Below are 17,454 nucleotides of genomic sequence, written 5' to 3'. Positions count from 1 at the left end.
GTTCACTTTGCTTAGAAAGAGAAATGTCCAGATGTGATTATATACTGATTTATTCCCTGTGGCCAATGGACTGGTTGAATGATGAGAGATTGAAAGGAACATGATTGGAAAATTAGTGAGAAGAAAATTTGGAAAAGAGGTTATATGAATAAGCCTCTCTCAATGTGCAAGAAATGTGAAGATATTTGTGTCCCATGTGAATGTTCACCAAAGGGTGACCTCAGCAGAGTAGGACTCAAAATAATCAAGTGGATAGGATGACCTTTTCTATGGATACCACTCAGCCTCTTTCCCCAGCTGCCCCTGTCATTGCCCAGTGGGCTCATGAACAAAGTGGCCATAGTGGCAGAGATGCAGGTTATACATTGGCTCAGCAATGTAGAGTTCCACTCACCAAGGCTTACCTGGCTATAGCCATGACTGAGAGCCCAATCTCCCAGCAGCAAACACTGAGCCCCTGGTTTGAAGCCATTTCCCAAGGTGATCAGCTAGCTCCTTGGTGCCAGGTTGATTACATTGGACCACTTCTACCAAGGAAGGAACAGCCTTTTGTTCTTACTGGAATAGCACTTACATTAGATACAGATTTGCTTCCATCCATGGACTTACAGAATGCTTTACACACTGCCATGGTTTCCACACGGCATTGCTTCTGATTTAGAACTTCACTTTGTAACAAAAGAAGTGTGGCAATGGGCCCGTGCTCATGAAATTCACTCATGTTACCATGTTCTCTACCATCCTGAAACAGCTGATACAATGGTAGAATGGCCTTTTGAAGACTTCCTTACAGTGCCAGCTAGGTGGCAATACCTTGAAGAGCTGAGGATAGGTTTTCCAGAAGGCCTCTACTCAGCATCCAATATATGCTGCTGTTTCTCCCATAGCCAAGATTCATGTCTCCAAGAATCAAGTCAAGGAAATGGGAGTGGCACCACTCACTATCACCAACAGCAACCTGCTAGCAACATTTTTGTTTCCTGTTTCCACCACCTTAACCCCTGCTAGCCTAGAGGTCTTAGTTCCAGAGGGAAAAATGCTTCCATCTAGAGACACAACAATGATACCATTGAATGGAAGTTAAGAGTGCTTCCTGGCCACTTTGTGCTCCTCATTTCTCTAATCTACAGGCAAAGAAGGGAGTTTCTGTGCTGGCTGAGGTGATTGATCCTGACTACCAAGGGCAAACCGGAGTACTACCCCACAATGGAAGTAAGGAAGAGTATGTCTGGAATGCAGGAGATGAAAAACTACAACAGCCCAATTCAAGCAGGACTCCTAATGGCCCAGACACTTCAGGAATGAAGATTTGGTTTACCTTATCAGGTAACGTATGGCAACCAGCAGAGGTGCTTGTTGAAGGCATAGGGAAAACAGAATGGGTAGTGGAAGAAGGTAGTTATAAATATCATGCATAACCATGTGACCAGTTATAGGAATGAGGATTCCAATTGTCATGAGTATTTCCTCCTTAGTTTGTAACAAATACATTTGTGTGTGTGTGTGTTTGTGTTAAGCAAATACCTTTGTTTTCTTTCCTCATTTCCTTATCATGTAAGATGTATTACTTTGTATCATAGCATTTAAGTATTGCTAATTTTATATCTTAGTATTTAAGTTATAGGATATCAGGGAGAAGAATAAACATCAATCAAGGACTTTGCCTCCTCTTTTGGGGAAGGGGTTAGTGTATTTTGGGTTGTACCCAGTATAGTTGGATGTTAGATGGAATTATGACCTTATTATTGTCTTTATTTAGAGATTAAATATGGTTTAAGGAGATGTTTATGGGTGACAAGCTGACAAGGGGTAAACTCGGTGATGATAGAAATGATATAAACAAAGAATCAGAACCATTAACATTCATGGTTCTTTCTTATATTAACATAATTATTACAGTGTATGTTGGTAGCCAGTGTGCTATGTTTGCGAGTTAGGAACAACTGGATTAAAAAGAACGTTTTGAACCCCAAGCAGTATATTAGTGGAGGAGATTCTGAAGACTTTTTTGAAGTGTTAAGATAAGGAGCTATGAAATTGGATACCAATAGGAGATGTTATATTACAGTGGCTTTTCAATTATGTTCATCCAATTTTATGGTTTGGAGAGGTGACTTGGACTGACCTGAAATAAGCAGGGCTGATGAGAAAGGTCACAGATGGTGGGATTCAAGCTTCACACTTCTGTAGTCAACAACATTCCCATCTGTGTAATACATTAGAGTTCCATGAAAATTGTTTCACAGTTAGGTCTCATTGCTAAAAACTTAAAAAAATCATAGCATAGACTAATAAAGATGTTAAGTACCATGGGACTTTAGGCAAGAAGAATCTCTGGGAGCTTAAGGTTAGACAACTAGTTAGAAGATTAGAAGGATACCATTTTCGGTCTGATTGAAAAATTCCCAGGGACAAAGGCTATAGACACTATTACTTTCTAATCTCAGTGTTTCACACAAAATAGGAATTTTATAAATATCTATTATCTGGACTGTAGAAAGAAATAAGGTTAGATAAACTCACGGGACCAGATTACAAAGGGTTTTGAAAGCTGCTGTCACGCCTCTGAGCCCAAGCTAAGACAACATATCCCCTGTGACCTGCACGTATACATCCAGATGGCCTGAAGCAAGTGAAGAATCACAAAAGAAGTGAAAATGGCTGGTTCTTGCCTTAACTGAGCGATTAACCTTGTGAAATTCCTTCTCCTGGCTCAGAAACTCCCCTACTGAGCACCTTGTGACCCCCTCCCCTGCCCGCCAGAGAAAACCCCCCTTTGACTGTAATTTTCCACTACCCACCCAAATCCTATAAAACAGCCCCACCCCTATTTCCCTTTGCTGACTCTCTTTCAGACTCAGCCCGCCTGCACCCAGGTGATTAAAAAGCTTTATTGCTCACACAAAGCCTGTTTGGTGGTCTCTTCACATGGACACGTGTGACATTTGGTGCCCTGACTCGGATCGGGGGACCTCCCTTGGGAGATCAATCCTCTGTCCTCCTGCTCTTTGCTCTGTGAGAAACATCCACCTACAACCTCAGGTCCTCAGACGAACCAGCCCAAGGAACATCTCACCAATTTTAAATCGGGTAAGCAGCCTCTTTTTACTCTCTTCTCCACCCTCTCTCACTATCCCTCAACCTCTTTCTCCTTTCAATCTTGGCACCACCCTTCAATCTCTCCCTTCTGTTAATTTCAATTCCTTTCCTTTTCTGGTAGAGACAGAAGAGACGCGTTTTATCTGTGAACTCAAAACTCCGGCACCGGTCATGGACTCAGGAAGACAGTCTTCCCTTGGTGTTTAACCACTGTGGGGATGCCTGCTTGATTATTCACCCATGATTCAGAGGTGCCTAATCACCATGGGCACACCTGCCTTGATCCTTCACATTTAGTGGCAAGCACCACTTTCCTGGGGGGCAAGCACCCTCTACCCCTTCTCTGCGTGTCTCTACCCTCTCTTTTCTCTGGGCTTGCCTCCTTCACTATGGGCAACCTTCCACCCTCCATTCCTCCCTCTTCTCCCTTAGTCTGTGTTCTCAAAAACTTAAAACCTCTTCAACTCACACCTGACCTAAAACCTAAATGCCTTATTTTCTTCTGCAGCACCTCTTGGCCCCAATACAAACTTGATAATGGCTCTAAATGGCCAGAAAACAGCACTTTCAATTTCTCCATCCTACAAGATCTAGATAATTCTTGTCATAAAATGGGCAAATGGTCTAAGGTGCTTGATATCCAGGCATTCTTTTACACATCGGCCCCTCCCTAGTCTCTGTTCCCAATGCAACTCATCCCAAATCTTCCTTCTTTCCCTCCCGCCTGTCCCCTAGGTCCCAACCCCAAGCATCACGAGTCTTTTCAATCTTCCTTTTCTACCGACCCATCTGACCTCTCCCCTCCTCCCCAGACTGCTCCTCCTCAGGTCGCTCCCTGCCAGGCTGAATCAGGCTCCAATTCTTCCTCAGCCTCTGCTCCCCCACCCTATAATCCTTCTATCACCTCCCCTCCTCACACCCAGTCCGGCTTACAGTTTCGTTCTGCCACTAGCCCTCCCCAATCAGCCCAACAATTTCCTCTTAAAGAGGTGGCTGGAGCTAAAGGCATAGTCAAGGATAATATTCCTTTTTCTTTATCCGACCTCTCCCAAATCAATGAGCATTTAGGCTCTTTTTCATCAAATATAAAAACCCAGCCCAGTTCATGGCTCATTTGGCAGCAACCCTAAGATGCTTTACAGCCCTAGACCCTGAAGGGTCAGAAGGCCGTGTCATTCTAAATATGCATTTTATCACCCAGTCAGCTCCTGACATTAGAAAAAAGCTTCAAAAATTAGAATCCAGCCCTCAAACCCCACAACAGGAATTAATCAACCTCACCTTCAAGGTGTACAATAATAGAGAGGAGACAGCCAGACAGCAACGCATTTCTGAGTTACAATTACTTGCCTCTGCTGTGAGACAAAACCCAGCCGCACCTCCAGTGCACAAGAACTTCAAAATGCCTAAGCCTCACATGCCTAAGCCGCAGCGGTCAAGCATTCCTACAGGACCTCCTCCATCAGGATCTTGCTTCAAGTGCCAGAAATCTGGCCACTGGGCCAAGGAATGCCCGCAGCCCAGGATTCCCCCTAAGCCATGTCCCATCTGTGCGGGACCCCACTGGAAATCGGACTGTCCAACTCACCCAGCAGCCACTCCCAGAGCCCCTGGAACTCTGGCCCAAGGCTGTCTGACTGACTCCTTCCCAGATCTCCTTGGCTTAGCAGCTGAATACTGACGCTGCCCGATCGCCTTGGAAGCCCCCTGGACCATCACGGACACCATCGAGTAACTCTCACAGTGGAGGGTAAGTCCATCCCCTGTTTAATCAATACAGGGGCTACCCACTCCATATTACCTTCTTTTCAAGGGCCTGTTTCCCTTGCCCCCATAACTGTTGTGGGTATTGATGGCCAAGCTTCAAAACCCCTTAAAACTCCCCTACTCTGGTGCCAACTTGGACAACGTTCTTTTATGCACTCTTTTTTAGTTATCCCCACCTGCCCAGTTCCCTTATTAGGCCGAGACATTTTAACCAAATTATCTGCTTCCCTGACTATTCCTGGACTACAGCCACATCTCATTGCCACCCTTCTTCTAAACCCAAAGCCTCCTTCACGTCTTCCTCTCGTATCCCCCCACCTTAACCCACAAGTATGAGACACCTCTACTCCCTCCCTGGCAACCGATCACACACCCATTACTCTCCCATTAAAACCTAATCACCCTTACCCCACTCAATGCCAGTATCCCATCCCACAACAGGCTTTAAGGGGATTAAAGCCTGTTATCACTTGCCTGCTACAGCATGGGCTTCTAAAACCTATAAACTTGGTCGGGCACAGTGGCTCACGCCTGTAATCCCAGCACTTTGGGAGGCTGAGGTGGGCGGATCACGAGGTCAGGAGATTGAGACCATCCTAGCTAACACAGTGAAACCCTGTCTCTACTAAAAATACAAAAAATTAGCCGGGTGTGGTGGCGGGCGCCTGTAGTCCCAGCTACTTGGGAGGCTGAGGCAGGAGAATGGCATGAACCCGGGAGGCGGAGCTTGCAGTGAGCCAAGATCGTGCCACTGCACTCCAGCCTGGGTGACAGAGCGAGACTCTGTCTCATAAAAAAAATAAATAAATAAAAATAAATAAATAAATAAATAAAAAGGCAAGTCCATATGGCCACAGCCAAATATGAACTTTTAAAAAGTGATCTATTATGACAGATGTTAGAATCATGGTATCTTTAAGGAAGGGGAATGAGGAAGCCTTCTGGAGTGCTAGAAATTTCTTGATCTAGGTTTTGGGTTTTATGATTGTAGTCATCAATGTGTAAGTTATATAACTTTTAGAAATTGCTATAGATTTTTAAAAGTACCTTTTAAAGACTATTTGAACAACTCTTTGAGGACTTTTGCTTATAAAATTAGACTTATAATTTATATTTAAAATTCATCCTTGAATATGGAGTAAATAATTTTAATTCTTGTTACCATATCAACTCATGTTCTTGGTTAGTGATGTGACAAACCAACTTTTAGTCTTTGAGCTCTACACATAGGAAGATGCCCTTTGGTCACAATGTTTTCATCTTGTGCTTTCTTTTCAAATGCAAGCTGTTCTGCTAAGCAGGAAACAACAGGCTCCTTGGCGTCTATAGACAACACTATTCCCAGGACTTGACAAACTACACTATGCAGGGAGCTCAGTCTATTCCTTTAGAGCAATTGTTTCCATTTTGTATCATGCCAAAGTCATTCAAAAGTAGTATAGAAAGTTCTTTCTTATGCTGAGAACACTCTGAGGTTTTGATCAGATGATTTCTGTTGTTTTTACTGACCTATATTCCCTAAATCCGTAAGAAAAAAGAAACATAACCATTTTACCTTATTAAAAAGAACATAATTAATAAGAACATATGCAGCGTATTTACCACCTAACCATAATATGATTAACACATGGCAGAAAAAAAATCTCTTGGGTTTAAAAATAGCTTTATTTAGCATACCAAAAACACAGAAACATAAGAAAGACCCTACCTAGTATAAACATAAAAATAGTTAAATACCATAATTTAATGTAAACCAAGCATCTTAAAATGAGAAATATTATAATAAAATACATACTATTTACACAGAACCAAGTTAAAGCTACCTCCACAGTTATTGGATCACATCATCAATCTTGAAGTCATCATTAAAAATGAAGCAAACACAACATATCTATCTGTACTGGTCAATAGGAAAAGAAGAAATCATTACATTTACTTTAAGGAAGTATAATTTTTTGTGACATTTAGAGCAAGGAGGCAGAAAGTGCCAATTCTAGGATTCCAGACACAACTACTGCACATGCAGGCATGTAAACCATTCTACAGGAAGACCACTGAGCCTGTTCTTTTATTTAAATGCAAACTGGTTGATTCAATTCAGTTACTCCTTAAGAAAGGTACTAAATATATTCTGTAAAAATAAACTTTTAAAAAACAATCAAAGGTGAATGTAATATCAATCAGGTAAGAAAGACAAAAGCATAAAAAATATATATTATTCCAAACAAACCCCTTAATTTTAACGAATGCTAAGAAACTCAGTTTATAAAACCAGATGGGGTAGCAAAAGGGATTTTAAAAAATATAAAAGCCAAATCAAACTCAAACCAAACAAACAAACCTAAGATAATGTTTCTTGAAGACAGTGGTATTTTGTTTATCCTATCATTATCATGCAACAGCCACCATGAGATCTGTGGCTGATAGAGCTATTACTGTGAAGTAGAATGTTCTTTGACCAACAGTCTAAAAAGCTACAGTCATTGATCAGTTTAAGCATTTGGCTTTTTGGCTTCAAACATCAACATTCATTCTGATACTGCAATTTAGGTGTCTCTAAAAAGCAGCATTATATCCAATATCAGCAGTTTAAAATGTAAAATAAAGTTGCAAGAAATCACACTAACAGAATATCCTGCTCCTATGTCTAATCCTGTAGCTCTAAAACTTTTGGTCTCTGGACCCCCTTACACTTACGCTCTTAACATTTATTGAGAATCTGGATGCCAAAGTACTTTTGTTCATGAGGTTTATATCTATCAATATTCACCATACTAAAAAAACCTGAAAATTTTTAAAGTATTAACTTATTTAAACATAGTAAACCCATTACATGCTAACACAAATAACATTTTATGAAAAATGGCCATATTTTCAAAAACAAAAAAAGAGATTTGTGAGAAGATGGCAATGTTTTACATTTGCAACACTTTTTTTGAGATAGAGTGAAAAGACAATGTCTTCACATTATAATAAAAATATTTTGATCTCATAGTCCCCCCTGAAAGGCTCTCAAGGAACCCAGGGGTCCATTGGCCATACTTTGAAAACTGCTGGTCTAATCTAAAGCCTGACATTAAAGACAAAAACATGTCCACACAAAAGGTGTCTTAATTTTCATTTAAAAATAAAGAAAAAAACCCCACACATACATACACAGTTCACTGGATCAAACACTTCTACCTTTAGCTTTAAATAGAAGCCAAAGATATCTGATGTGTACTCATGGCAAAAGTAAAAATGTCATTTCTGAGACCAGGGTCAAGATACAATCAATCATTTTTAGTCCATAAAAGCTACTAAACCTATTAACTAGCACACACGCCTTACTTCCCTTTCTATCATTTGCTTAAACCTGTTTGTGCTGTGTGGACTATCATCTTTCAGTTGGCACAGTTTCAGAACAGACCAGAGCATGGCAGGGGTTCTCTAACAGCCCACACACTCAGATTAGGAATATGTTACCCATTTATGGGGCAGCCTGCTCTATTTCTCACTGTGTGAAAGCTCTCATACAATTTAGGAAAACAGAGGGGAAAATTCTCCATGAAGCACAATAATAATAACATTACGAACTTAGTGTAGATAGCTCTTCACATTTTACAAATTTCTTACATACACACCATCTTATTTGATCCTTGTAAAGCCCTTAGAGAAGTGCAGGACAAATGATGTTATCCCCATTTTAGAGTTGAGGAGGTTGAGGGTCAGATATGATTCTTGCTCAAGGTACAGTGGTGGCAAGCATGTGATAGAGGGAGATCTGAGTTCAGGTCATCTGACTCCTACTTCAGGATTCCCCTCAGTGTTCCTCCTTCCTTTGGTTCCAGGGCAGGACTCGGGGAGGAGTCTGTAGGGATGGAGCTGGAAGCAGCAGGAAATGACACACCTGAAACCTACATTCCTTCTGCCTGCCTCATCAATCATTTTATCCAACGCTGAAAAGTTTGGAAGTGGTACAAATATTTCCCTTAACTGACCTAATGAATTTGCCATCAGTGCATACAAAATGAAACTTTATGAACAACTGTCTTGTTTTCTTTTATTTCTCAGCCAGCTTATGTTGGCAACCCATTTACAGCCTGTTCTCTCTGCTCCAAGAAAAAAGTAAAAACCCTACAGTTAAAAAAATACCTGATGAAAATACAAAAGGAAGTAGCAACAATGATGAGATCTGTGTGGGGCTATTACTAGATTTATTGTGCACCTAGCATAACATGGACTTTGCAATCTTCTTCTACCACTTGGAGGGCAATATAAAAATCACAGTTGATAATTCAATGGAAAATTACCTCCTAACAATCTTGAGGCAAAGACATCAGCCTATATAAAAATATTAAGACAATAATTTCAAAAATTTTATTTTAACTAAACTCTTAAGGGCTTGAAAATTCTGTGGGAGTAGGACAGAGTGTAGAACGTACAGTAAAAGGCAATAAAACAGTGGGAATAATTTTACCAGCTATGAGTAAAGGAGTAATGGGTATTTACTGCCTGTCATTAATCCACACATATATCCATTTTAGAAATTATTTTGTTGCCTGGAAATCTGTCTCATCAAGATGTTAATATACACCGCAGGAGATATTCAAGATGCTAAGAAAACACTGTTTAATTTTGGAAGTGTGGGGGAGTGGTCAACCAAAAAAAAAATCCCTATTACAAAACAAGCCGAATGCCACCAAATACCTTATTGCTATCTGCTGTAAGCAAGTTATCAGTAGCTTATGCATTATTGCTCACACACACTTTTTCTCTATTTATAACATCAAGAATGACTATGTGTAATTTTTTTCTTTTTAAGGTAGATGAAGAATTATCAAGTTAACAAAAGCCAGTCAGAATTAGAAAACATGCTAAGTACATCCAGTTTGCAAAAATCTACAGCATGTCACTGGCTATTACACAAATTCTTGATACCCTTGTTTTGCAATTTTGGTGAGTAATGCTCTCCTTCCAGGTGATTTAGGTAGAAGTTAATGGATTTTTAAGACAGTTTTACATATACTGTGTTGATGCATACACACGTATATATGCCTATACACACATATATACACTTACATGTATGTCTCATCACATCACAGAAAGACCCCCATTAGTATGTTTTCCCTCTTCATATATTTCCCCTAGCAAAAATGAGCATGGATAATGATTCTATAACAAGAAACAAAACTAAAGAAAATAAAACAAGTGTGAAGTGGTATGCGGTAAGAGTCCAATAAAATAAGTCAATGAACATTTATGTAGTGGTAAAGTGCTAGAAAGTTCTTCCATTAGTATTTTAAAAATGATTAGAGTAAAAAGAAGTTTGCAGCTTCATTTGATGGTGGTGACCACAGGCACCATAGGAATGGCACTGGCTGAGTTGGAGTTGACTATGTCCTCATACTCTGGGGGTGGGTCTAAATGAGGTTCTGTTTCACTCCTCTGCAGGTTCACTTGGCCAGTGGCTTCCTCATAGGTTGGCGGGGGATCACAATTGGACAGGCGAGTAGAGACGGAATCTGAGCGCCCAACTACATATCCCAGAAAGCCTGGAGACAATCCACTGCTGTCAAACACTTCATCTGGTGGGGGGGGTGGGGTGATAATATTAAGGTGCTGAGGGAAAGGAATGTGGCCTTCAGTCACTGTCTGTCTACGAGTTTTGTTTCTTAGGAAGCATCTCCAGATTAGGAAAATGACAAGGAGGATAATGAAGAGGCCAAAGATTAACGGAAAGGTAAGGTAAAACTGAAACCAGTCACTTCCTCGGTTACTCTCCCCTTGTTGCGCTTTTGTGTAGGTGCTCCAAAACTCCTTCTGAAAATACAATACAAAATAAATAGAAAATCAGTATGAATAAAAGATGGAAAATACCAGATGAATAAATGTCTGGGTTCAATGAACATAATGAACAAAAACCCAAAACCAAATTTGCTGAATCAAAGGACCTACAAGTCTATATTTTCCATGTGACAAGAAATTACAAATACATAACTGTGCTCCTTCTGGATCCTCCCTAAAATGGTCAGTCAGAATCCAAGAGTGTTTTTAAAGACTTGGAGTTATTTATATTTTCAGCTATGATACTTTAGAGGGAAAAATAAGTAATGAGGGTTTTCCCCTTTACTAACTATACCAAATAATTTACTGTTAAAATATGTTAAATATCATCACTCTCCATATCCAACTACAAGATTCTCATCACATGATCCCTATCATCATTAATAGTATGTACAAGTTTAGGCAGTTGTAGTCTTTCAGTACTCAAACACTCCAGAAACACCTTGTTTTCTAATGGTTCTGTTTGGGGTTCCTTGCCACCAGACATTCCTCCTCAGCTCCCTCTCCAACCCCAAAGTTTAGTACACAGATGTTGACTGAAGGTCAAAATTATATATTGTTCCTAGGAGAGACCTCAGGCTGGTGAAGAAGCTACATTAGGTTACTTCTAAACCTGGACCTTAATCCCAAATGAAAAGTAGTCCAGTAGTTCAAGACTTTAACGTATGTAGGAGAAGTATTTAAAAGATAAAAAGGAAACTTGACCCAATTACTAGTTATGAAACCTGGTCAAGTTACTCCTTTAGGCCTCAGTTTCCTCACTTGTAAAATGGTATAATACAAACCTACCTTACAGGCTGCCTGTGCATTAAGTGAGATAACATTTATAACATGTCTAATTAAGTCCCTGGCATATAAATACTCAATACATATTAGTGATTATAATTAATTTTATATATTATAATCAAATCTCTGCTTCAAAATGACTGATTACCTATCCCTTACTTTGATACAAAGATCACCCTCAATTGCAATGCTATTCACTGCATTTATCAAAGTGCTTTTCTTACAATCATGTTTATTTGCAGGTATTATGGGTCACTGATAAGATTCGAAATGTCTGCCATTTCATATTATTTAATTATCTGGCATCAAGGGAGGGAGCCCTTGGAATGCAAATTGGAAAAAGAAGAGCTGGGGAGAGGAGTTAGCTCACTAAACAAATGGACAAATAGAGGGAGTTGGATTACACCTGGAATTCTGAACTCAGATGTCCCATGAGGGCATGGAATTTAGATAAAACACCAAATTTGGTCCAAACTAATACTATGGCCACTAAAGCTGCTTGTTTTATAGTAATATATTTTACTTCACTTAGTTATATAGCTTTTTAAAGAACCCTGTGGTCATAAAAATGACTCCTGAATGAGGTCTCTAAGGTACATTATTACTCCAACATTCTATAATTCTAAGAGGAACTGGACATGTTATAAGAAACATTGTATGATTTACTAAAGGCTGTACAGGTTCACAATGAATTTCACCTAAAAATCCAGATGAAAATATGCAAGATTCGATATTTAAAAAAGCCCAAAGAAGAAAAAGTAGAGTCTAGATACAGCATTCATCTCAGGATAATATCGAAAAGCTGAAATTGTCAAAGTACTCATTGGCTTCACTAATATGGATATATATTCACAGGTAAAAACTATTAAATATAGATGTATGAAGACTTTTTACACAATAAATTTGCTCCTAAAATTACACATCATTAACTTTTTATATAACTATCACTTTTAGGATTGAAAAAAGTGAATTATATAAAATTTCACTCCTGTAAAAACAGCAAAAATGGGGCTGGGTGCGGTGGCTCATGCCTGTAATCCCAGCACTTTGGGAGGCTGAGGCAGGCGATCACCTGAGGTGGAGAGTTCGAGACCGGCCTGACCAACATGGAGAAACCCTGTCTGTACTAAAAATACAAAATTAGCCGGGCGTGGTGGCGCATGCCTGTAGTCCCAGCTACTCAGGAGGCTGAGGCAGGAGAACTGCTTGAAACTGGGAGGCGGAGGTTGCGGGTGAGCCGAGATTGCGTCATTGCATTCCAGCCTGGGCAACAAGAGCAAAACTCTGTCTCAACAAAACAAAACAAAACAAAACAAAACAAAACAAAACAAAAACAGCAAAAATGAAAACGAATCACTTGTAGTTCCATCATAAGATGTAAGCAGTACTAACATTTTGGTTTACATCATTTAAAAAATTGCTTTACATCTCTTTCTCCTGTACACTTGCCAATCACAGTTGCACTCCTAAAAAATAACAGACTCTTTTACAAATTTGGAATCAAACCGCACCAAGTAGAATAAAGTAAACTTATCAAGTATCTGATCTATAGTAAATTTTCCTTTATCTGCAGGTGAGACTTTAATCTCTCTCTTCCCAGTCTCTCAGGTCACCACTTCCTTTTACTCTATTTCAATTTATCCAAAAATACCAATAAATATATGTGATTTAAATAATTACATGATGCTAACCTTAGAAAAACACAATAAAATGTAGCTCTTTTATATTGTCTACATTACTTTGGAATACCCAAAGATTAATCTACATGAATGTTTTTTGCACGCTTGCTTGCATAATTCAATTTCTCTGTTTTTTGGCATTCTGGGAAATAAAAAATTTTTAGTCTAATTCTTTCCCCTTTGGAAAAAATTACAGAGAAATAATTGGGCATTTATTTTGAATGGATAAAAACAAAGCTTAGGCAAAAACTGAATTAGTAAACCAGATTTTAATTTTACAGGTAGTAACTTAATCTTTAACACATAAAATACTGTAGGCTCTGTTATCATCCTCACTTTGCAGATGAGGAAAGGGAGGCTCAGAGAGGTTACATAATGATAAAGTCAAGGTCATTTAACATCTGAACATCGGAGCTGGGATTTCAATCCAAGACATCTGGCACCAGAGCAAACCAACAAGCAATCTGCCTTGATGTATAAGTAATTCAGAACCAGTTTGGCTATTTTCCTAAAATTCAATCTTCCATCATTTTCAATGTGTAGTCAAAAGCAAGCTGCCTGATTTTACAGATTAAATACTTTCAATTAAGGTAACAATGATCTGAATAAAAACACAATGACAGATTTATTTGGAAAAGAGACTGATATGTCCTTTAGGCCAGAGGGTCAGAAGAAAATTCATGTGAAATCAGCTCTAATAATTATCATTCAAACAAGTAATTTCAAATTATGTTTCTGTAAGCTATTTATACAGTTCTTTTTCTTTTGAAATCAGCAAAAAGATACTTAGAATAAGCAAATGATTTCAAAACTTGGTAGAGCAGTGCTTTAGAAGGATTTAACATTAGTGGCTGGCAATAATGTGGCACAAATGTATGTGCCTAAACAAGAATTACTATCATAATTGAATCATACTTTTATAGCAATCTTAAGCATGATGTAAAAGAGTGAATGAAGAAAAGAGTCATTAAAGGAACTCTATGGTTTTAGCCTAAGATAAAATTAAAGAAGTGATAAACACAATCTGGAGCTGCCAGAGAGGTCCGACAACCATTTCAGAGGGAAGAGCCCCAAGAGGTAGACGTTTCATCCTGTGAGCTGAGTGCTAGAACAAAATGCACTGGGTGCAAGATTCTTACAAAGAATATTTGTTTCCCTTTTATAAAATGTGTGCTTTTTCTGTTTTGAATGTTCTCACTGCCATTTACGAACACAATTTGAGTGACTCAAGGCCTGACCTCAAGGCTTTCATAATTGCAAAGACAGTAGAGTGGGGCATGTTTTGCAATCTGATCAATCAGGTCAGAACCTACATAAAAAAGTTGGGAAGTGGATGATTTTCCCATTGAGTATGTATTGATGAGGAGGGCCTAGCAGCATTTATATACAGCTCTCCTACAGCTTCTCCCTATCCTTGAAAGAGAATGACATTAAAGGGGAGGAAGGACCTTAGGAGACGGGGGACTAAAAACCAATCCTAACTCCAAAAGCTGCCTTGTTGAGAGTAGAAGGCAGAAATACCCCCAAGTTGGAAAATCCAAGCAAGTGTAGTCCAACTTTTTAAGACTCCTTATCAAAAGTGATACTCTAGGGAAAATGGCTGGACTTGCAAGTCACTGAACATCTTTGGGTCAATTTCTTTGTCTCTAAGGTAGTAACATGTATATCTAAGCTATGAAAAAGTAGAAACAGATCATTTTTAAACTGATACATAATGTGGAGGTGTGGTAGCACAAACCTGTACCCTCAGCTACTTCAGAGGCTGAGGTGTGAGGGTCCCTTGAGCCCAGGAGTTAGAGACAAACCTGGGAAACATAGGGAGACTCTAGCTCTTTAAAAAGTATCTTAAAAGATACGTTTTGTATTCTTTTGTCAAAAAGTAAGGTATTATCTTGAAAACTGTCAGTAGAAGATGGACAAGTTACTGGGAAACAATATTATGCTGGGCATGATAAGCATCAATTCAATTTACTACCAGTTGAAGATGATATGGCTGGGGGATGAAGACCAAAGGTTGGTGGCATGCTGTTTCAATTAATTATGGGCACTATATTTTGTAAGGTGGCACACAGGTTACATAAAGGAAATTCTAGTAATTTAGATGGAATTATTTGCAAATGGTTATGGTTTGGATTCAGGACACTTGAATAGAACTGAAGCAGGAGAATAGGGTCTGGAGATAGGGAGCTTTCACTTCAGCCTGTGATTGGTCACAGGCCAAGTCTTCATTTGCATAGGGTGTAACTCCACTTCAGCCTTCAATTGGTTGCAGGACAAGTCTTCATTTGCATAGGGTATAACTTCACTTCAGCCTCTGACTGCTCACAGGTCAGGTGTTCATTTACACAGGGTGTAACCAATAGGAAACCTCTAAAGGGTACTTAAACCCCAGAAGATTTTGCAACTGGGGCTCTTTAGCCGCCTGTTTCTTCAGCTCCTGCTGTGTGGAGCGTACTTTTGCTTCAATAAATCTATGCTTTCGTTGCTTCGTTCTTTTGTTGCTTTGTTTGTGTGTTTTGTCCAATTCTTTGCTCAACACATCAAGAACCTGGATGACTCGTCAAGACCCTACACTGGTAACAGAACCAAAGAAGTGGGAGGATTGGTACCTGTCCTGATGTAATGAGCAAAAGGAGAAATCCCAAGTCCCAGAATGTCACTAGTGACCAGTATGTAAATTGACTGCTAAAACCTCATTCTTTTATATCATTAAGGAGAGAAACGTAAGCTGCAGGATACTGTGAATTATGTTACTATTTGGTATATATCCATGGCATGCATACTTCTCCATAAAACAAAAGTTTGTAAGTGCTATGGTATGGATGTGGTTTCTTCTTGCTAAAACTCATGTTGGTGTTGAATGTATCCAGGGATTTCAAAAGACATTATTGTTATGGCAAGCAAGATTTAAAAGTAATCATCCTAGCTACTACATATTTCCAAGATTTTTGCAACATATTGAAGAGAATATTAATGAAAACATTTTGAAAGAAATAAAATTAGAGATATTGTTGCATCTCACTTCTCTATCTCAAACTTTTAACCATTTCTTTCCAGAAGAAAAATTTGAAACATTAAGGGAAAACAGTTGGGTAAAAGATCCATTTGCTTTTTGAAACTCTGAATCAATAATTGAGCTAAACTTGGTGCCTGAAGAAGAGAATGAATTATTGCAGCTTAGTTCTTCATATACATTGAAGAATGATTATGAGACCTTAAGTTTATCAGCATTTTGATTAAGGTAAAGGAAGACTTTCCATTGTTAAGTAGAAAGAGTGTCCTGCTATTACTACCATTCACATCTAGTTTGTGTGAACTAGGGTTTTCTATCTTAACCCTGTTAAAAACAAAGGAAAGAAATGGGCTGAATGGTGCACCAGCTATGCGGGTAGCATTATCTTCCTGTGTTCCAGACTGGAATGAATTTATGAACAAGGCAAGCACACCATTATTGTAAATAAAATCTTACCTAGTTTTTGTTTTTGTATTTCTTACTTTGTAGTATTTTTCTGTGTTATATTTAAATGGTACTATAACATTGTATGTGATACTTTTGTTATGTTTTGTTATATTTAATACAATTATTTTATGTTCACTGAAAAAAAAATAAAACTCATGTTGGAAGTTAAATTACCAGCGTGGCAGTGTTGGGAGATGGGCTGTAGTGGGAGGTGTTTGAGTCTGGGGTGGCACATGAATGTCTTGGTGTCCTTCTCGCTGCAGTCAGTGAATTCTTGCTTTGGAGAGACTGGACTAGTTCTCACAGGTATGGATTAGTTTCCGAGAGAGTGGATTGTTATAAAGGGAGGTTCCTCCTCAGGTCTGGTCCCTCTTCACATGTGCCTACTTCCGCTTTGACCTTCTCTGCTGTGTCATGACAGAGCACAAAAGCCCCCACCAGAATCTGAGCAGATACTAGCCCCATGCCCCTTGAACTTCCCAGCCTGCAGAACTGTCAGCTAAATAAATCTCCTCTCTATAAATTAGTCTCAGGGATTCTGTTATAGTAACACACAAAACGGGAAGACAGAAAGGATATATGGAAAACTCCTAAGGAAGGTAATCTTTCAGTGGGGCTGGTATGAAAGACACTTGAGAGCCTGCAGTCAGGGACATGAGGAAGTTCATCACATATCATTTTATATATTTTACTTCTGAACATTACGGATGTATTACTTCTTCTAACACTTAAAGAAATGCATTATTTCTGGGAAGTCAACAGGTACAGGTAACCCATTCTAGAATCCTGGCTATGAATTACAGGTTGAGATAGCAGCCAGTTAAAGATCCAGACAAA

General features: G+C 39.1%; 1 protein-coding gene across 4 annotated transcripts in view, besides 1 other annotated feature; it reads right to left on the bottom strand.

Annotated features, from left to right (window-relative positions):
- Positions 2,361-3,108: an enhancer, noted in NCBI's record as "NANOG-H3K27ac hESC enhancer chrX:37319949-37320696 (GRCh37/hg19 assembly coordinates)". NCBI's record gives its function as "activates a minimal SCP1, AML or CMV promoter by ChIP-STARR-seq in primed H9 embryonic stem cells {active_cell/tissue: H9 hESC(primed)}" and the evidence as "EXISTENCE:reporter gene assay evidence [ECO:0000049][PMID:30033119]".
- PRRG1 (proline rich and Gla domain 1) overlaps positions 6,513-17,454 on the bottom strand; it is a 107,928-nt gene continuing 96,986 nt past the window's right edge. For all 4 annotated transcript variants that reach the window (NM_001173489.2, NM_001173490.2, NM_000950.3 and 1 more), the window contains one exon: positions 6,513-10,668. In NM_001173489.2, coding sequence (NP_001166960.1) covers positions 10,183-10,668 — 486 coding nt within the window. In that variant the 3' untranslated portion in view covers positions 6,513-10,182. The remainder of the gene's footprint in view (positions 10,669-17,454) is intronic.

This window comes from Homo sapiens, chromosome X, assembly GCF_000001405.40.
Source record: "Homo sapiens chromosome X, GRCh38.p14 Primary Assembly".
NCBI classification, from domain to species: Eukaryota; Metazoa; Chordata; class Mammalia; order Primates; family Hominidae; genus Homo; species Homo sapiens.
Note: the sequence above shows the minus strand (reverse complement) of the source record. Positions and strands in the feature narration are given on the sequence as shown.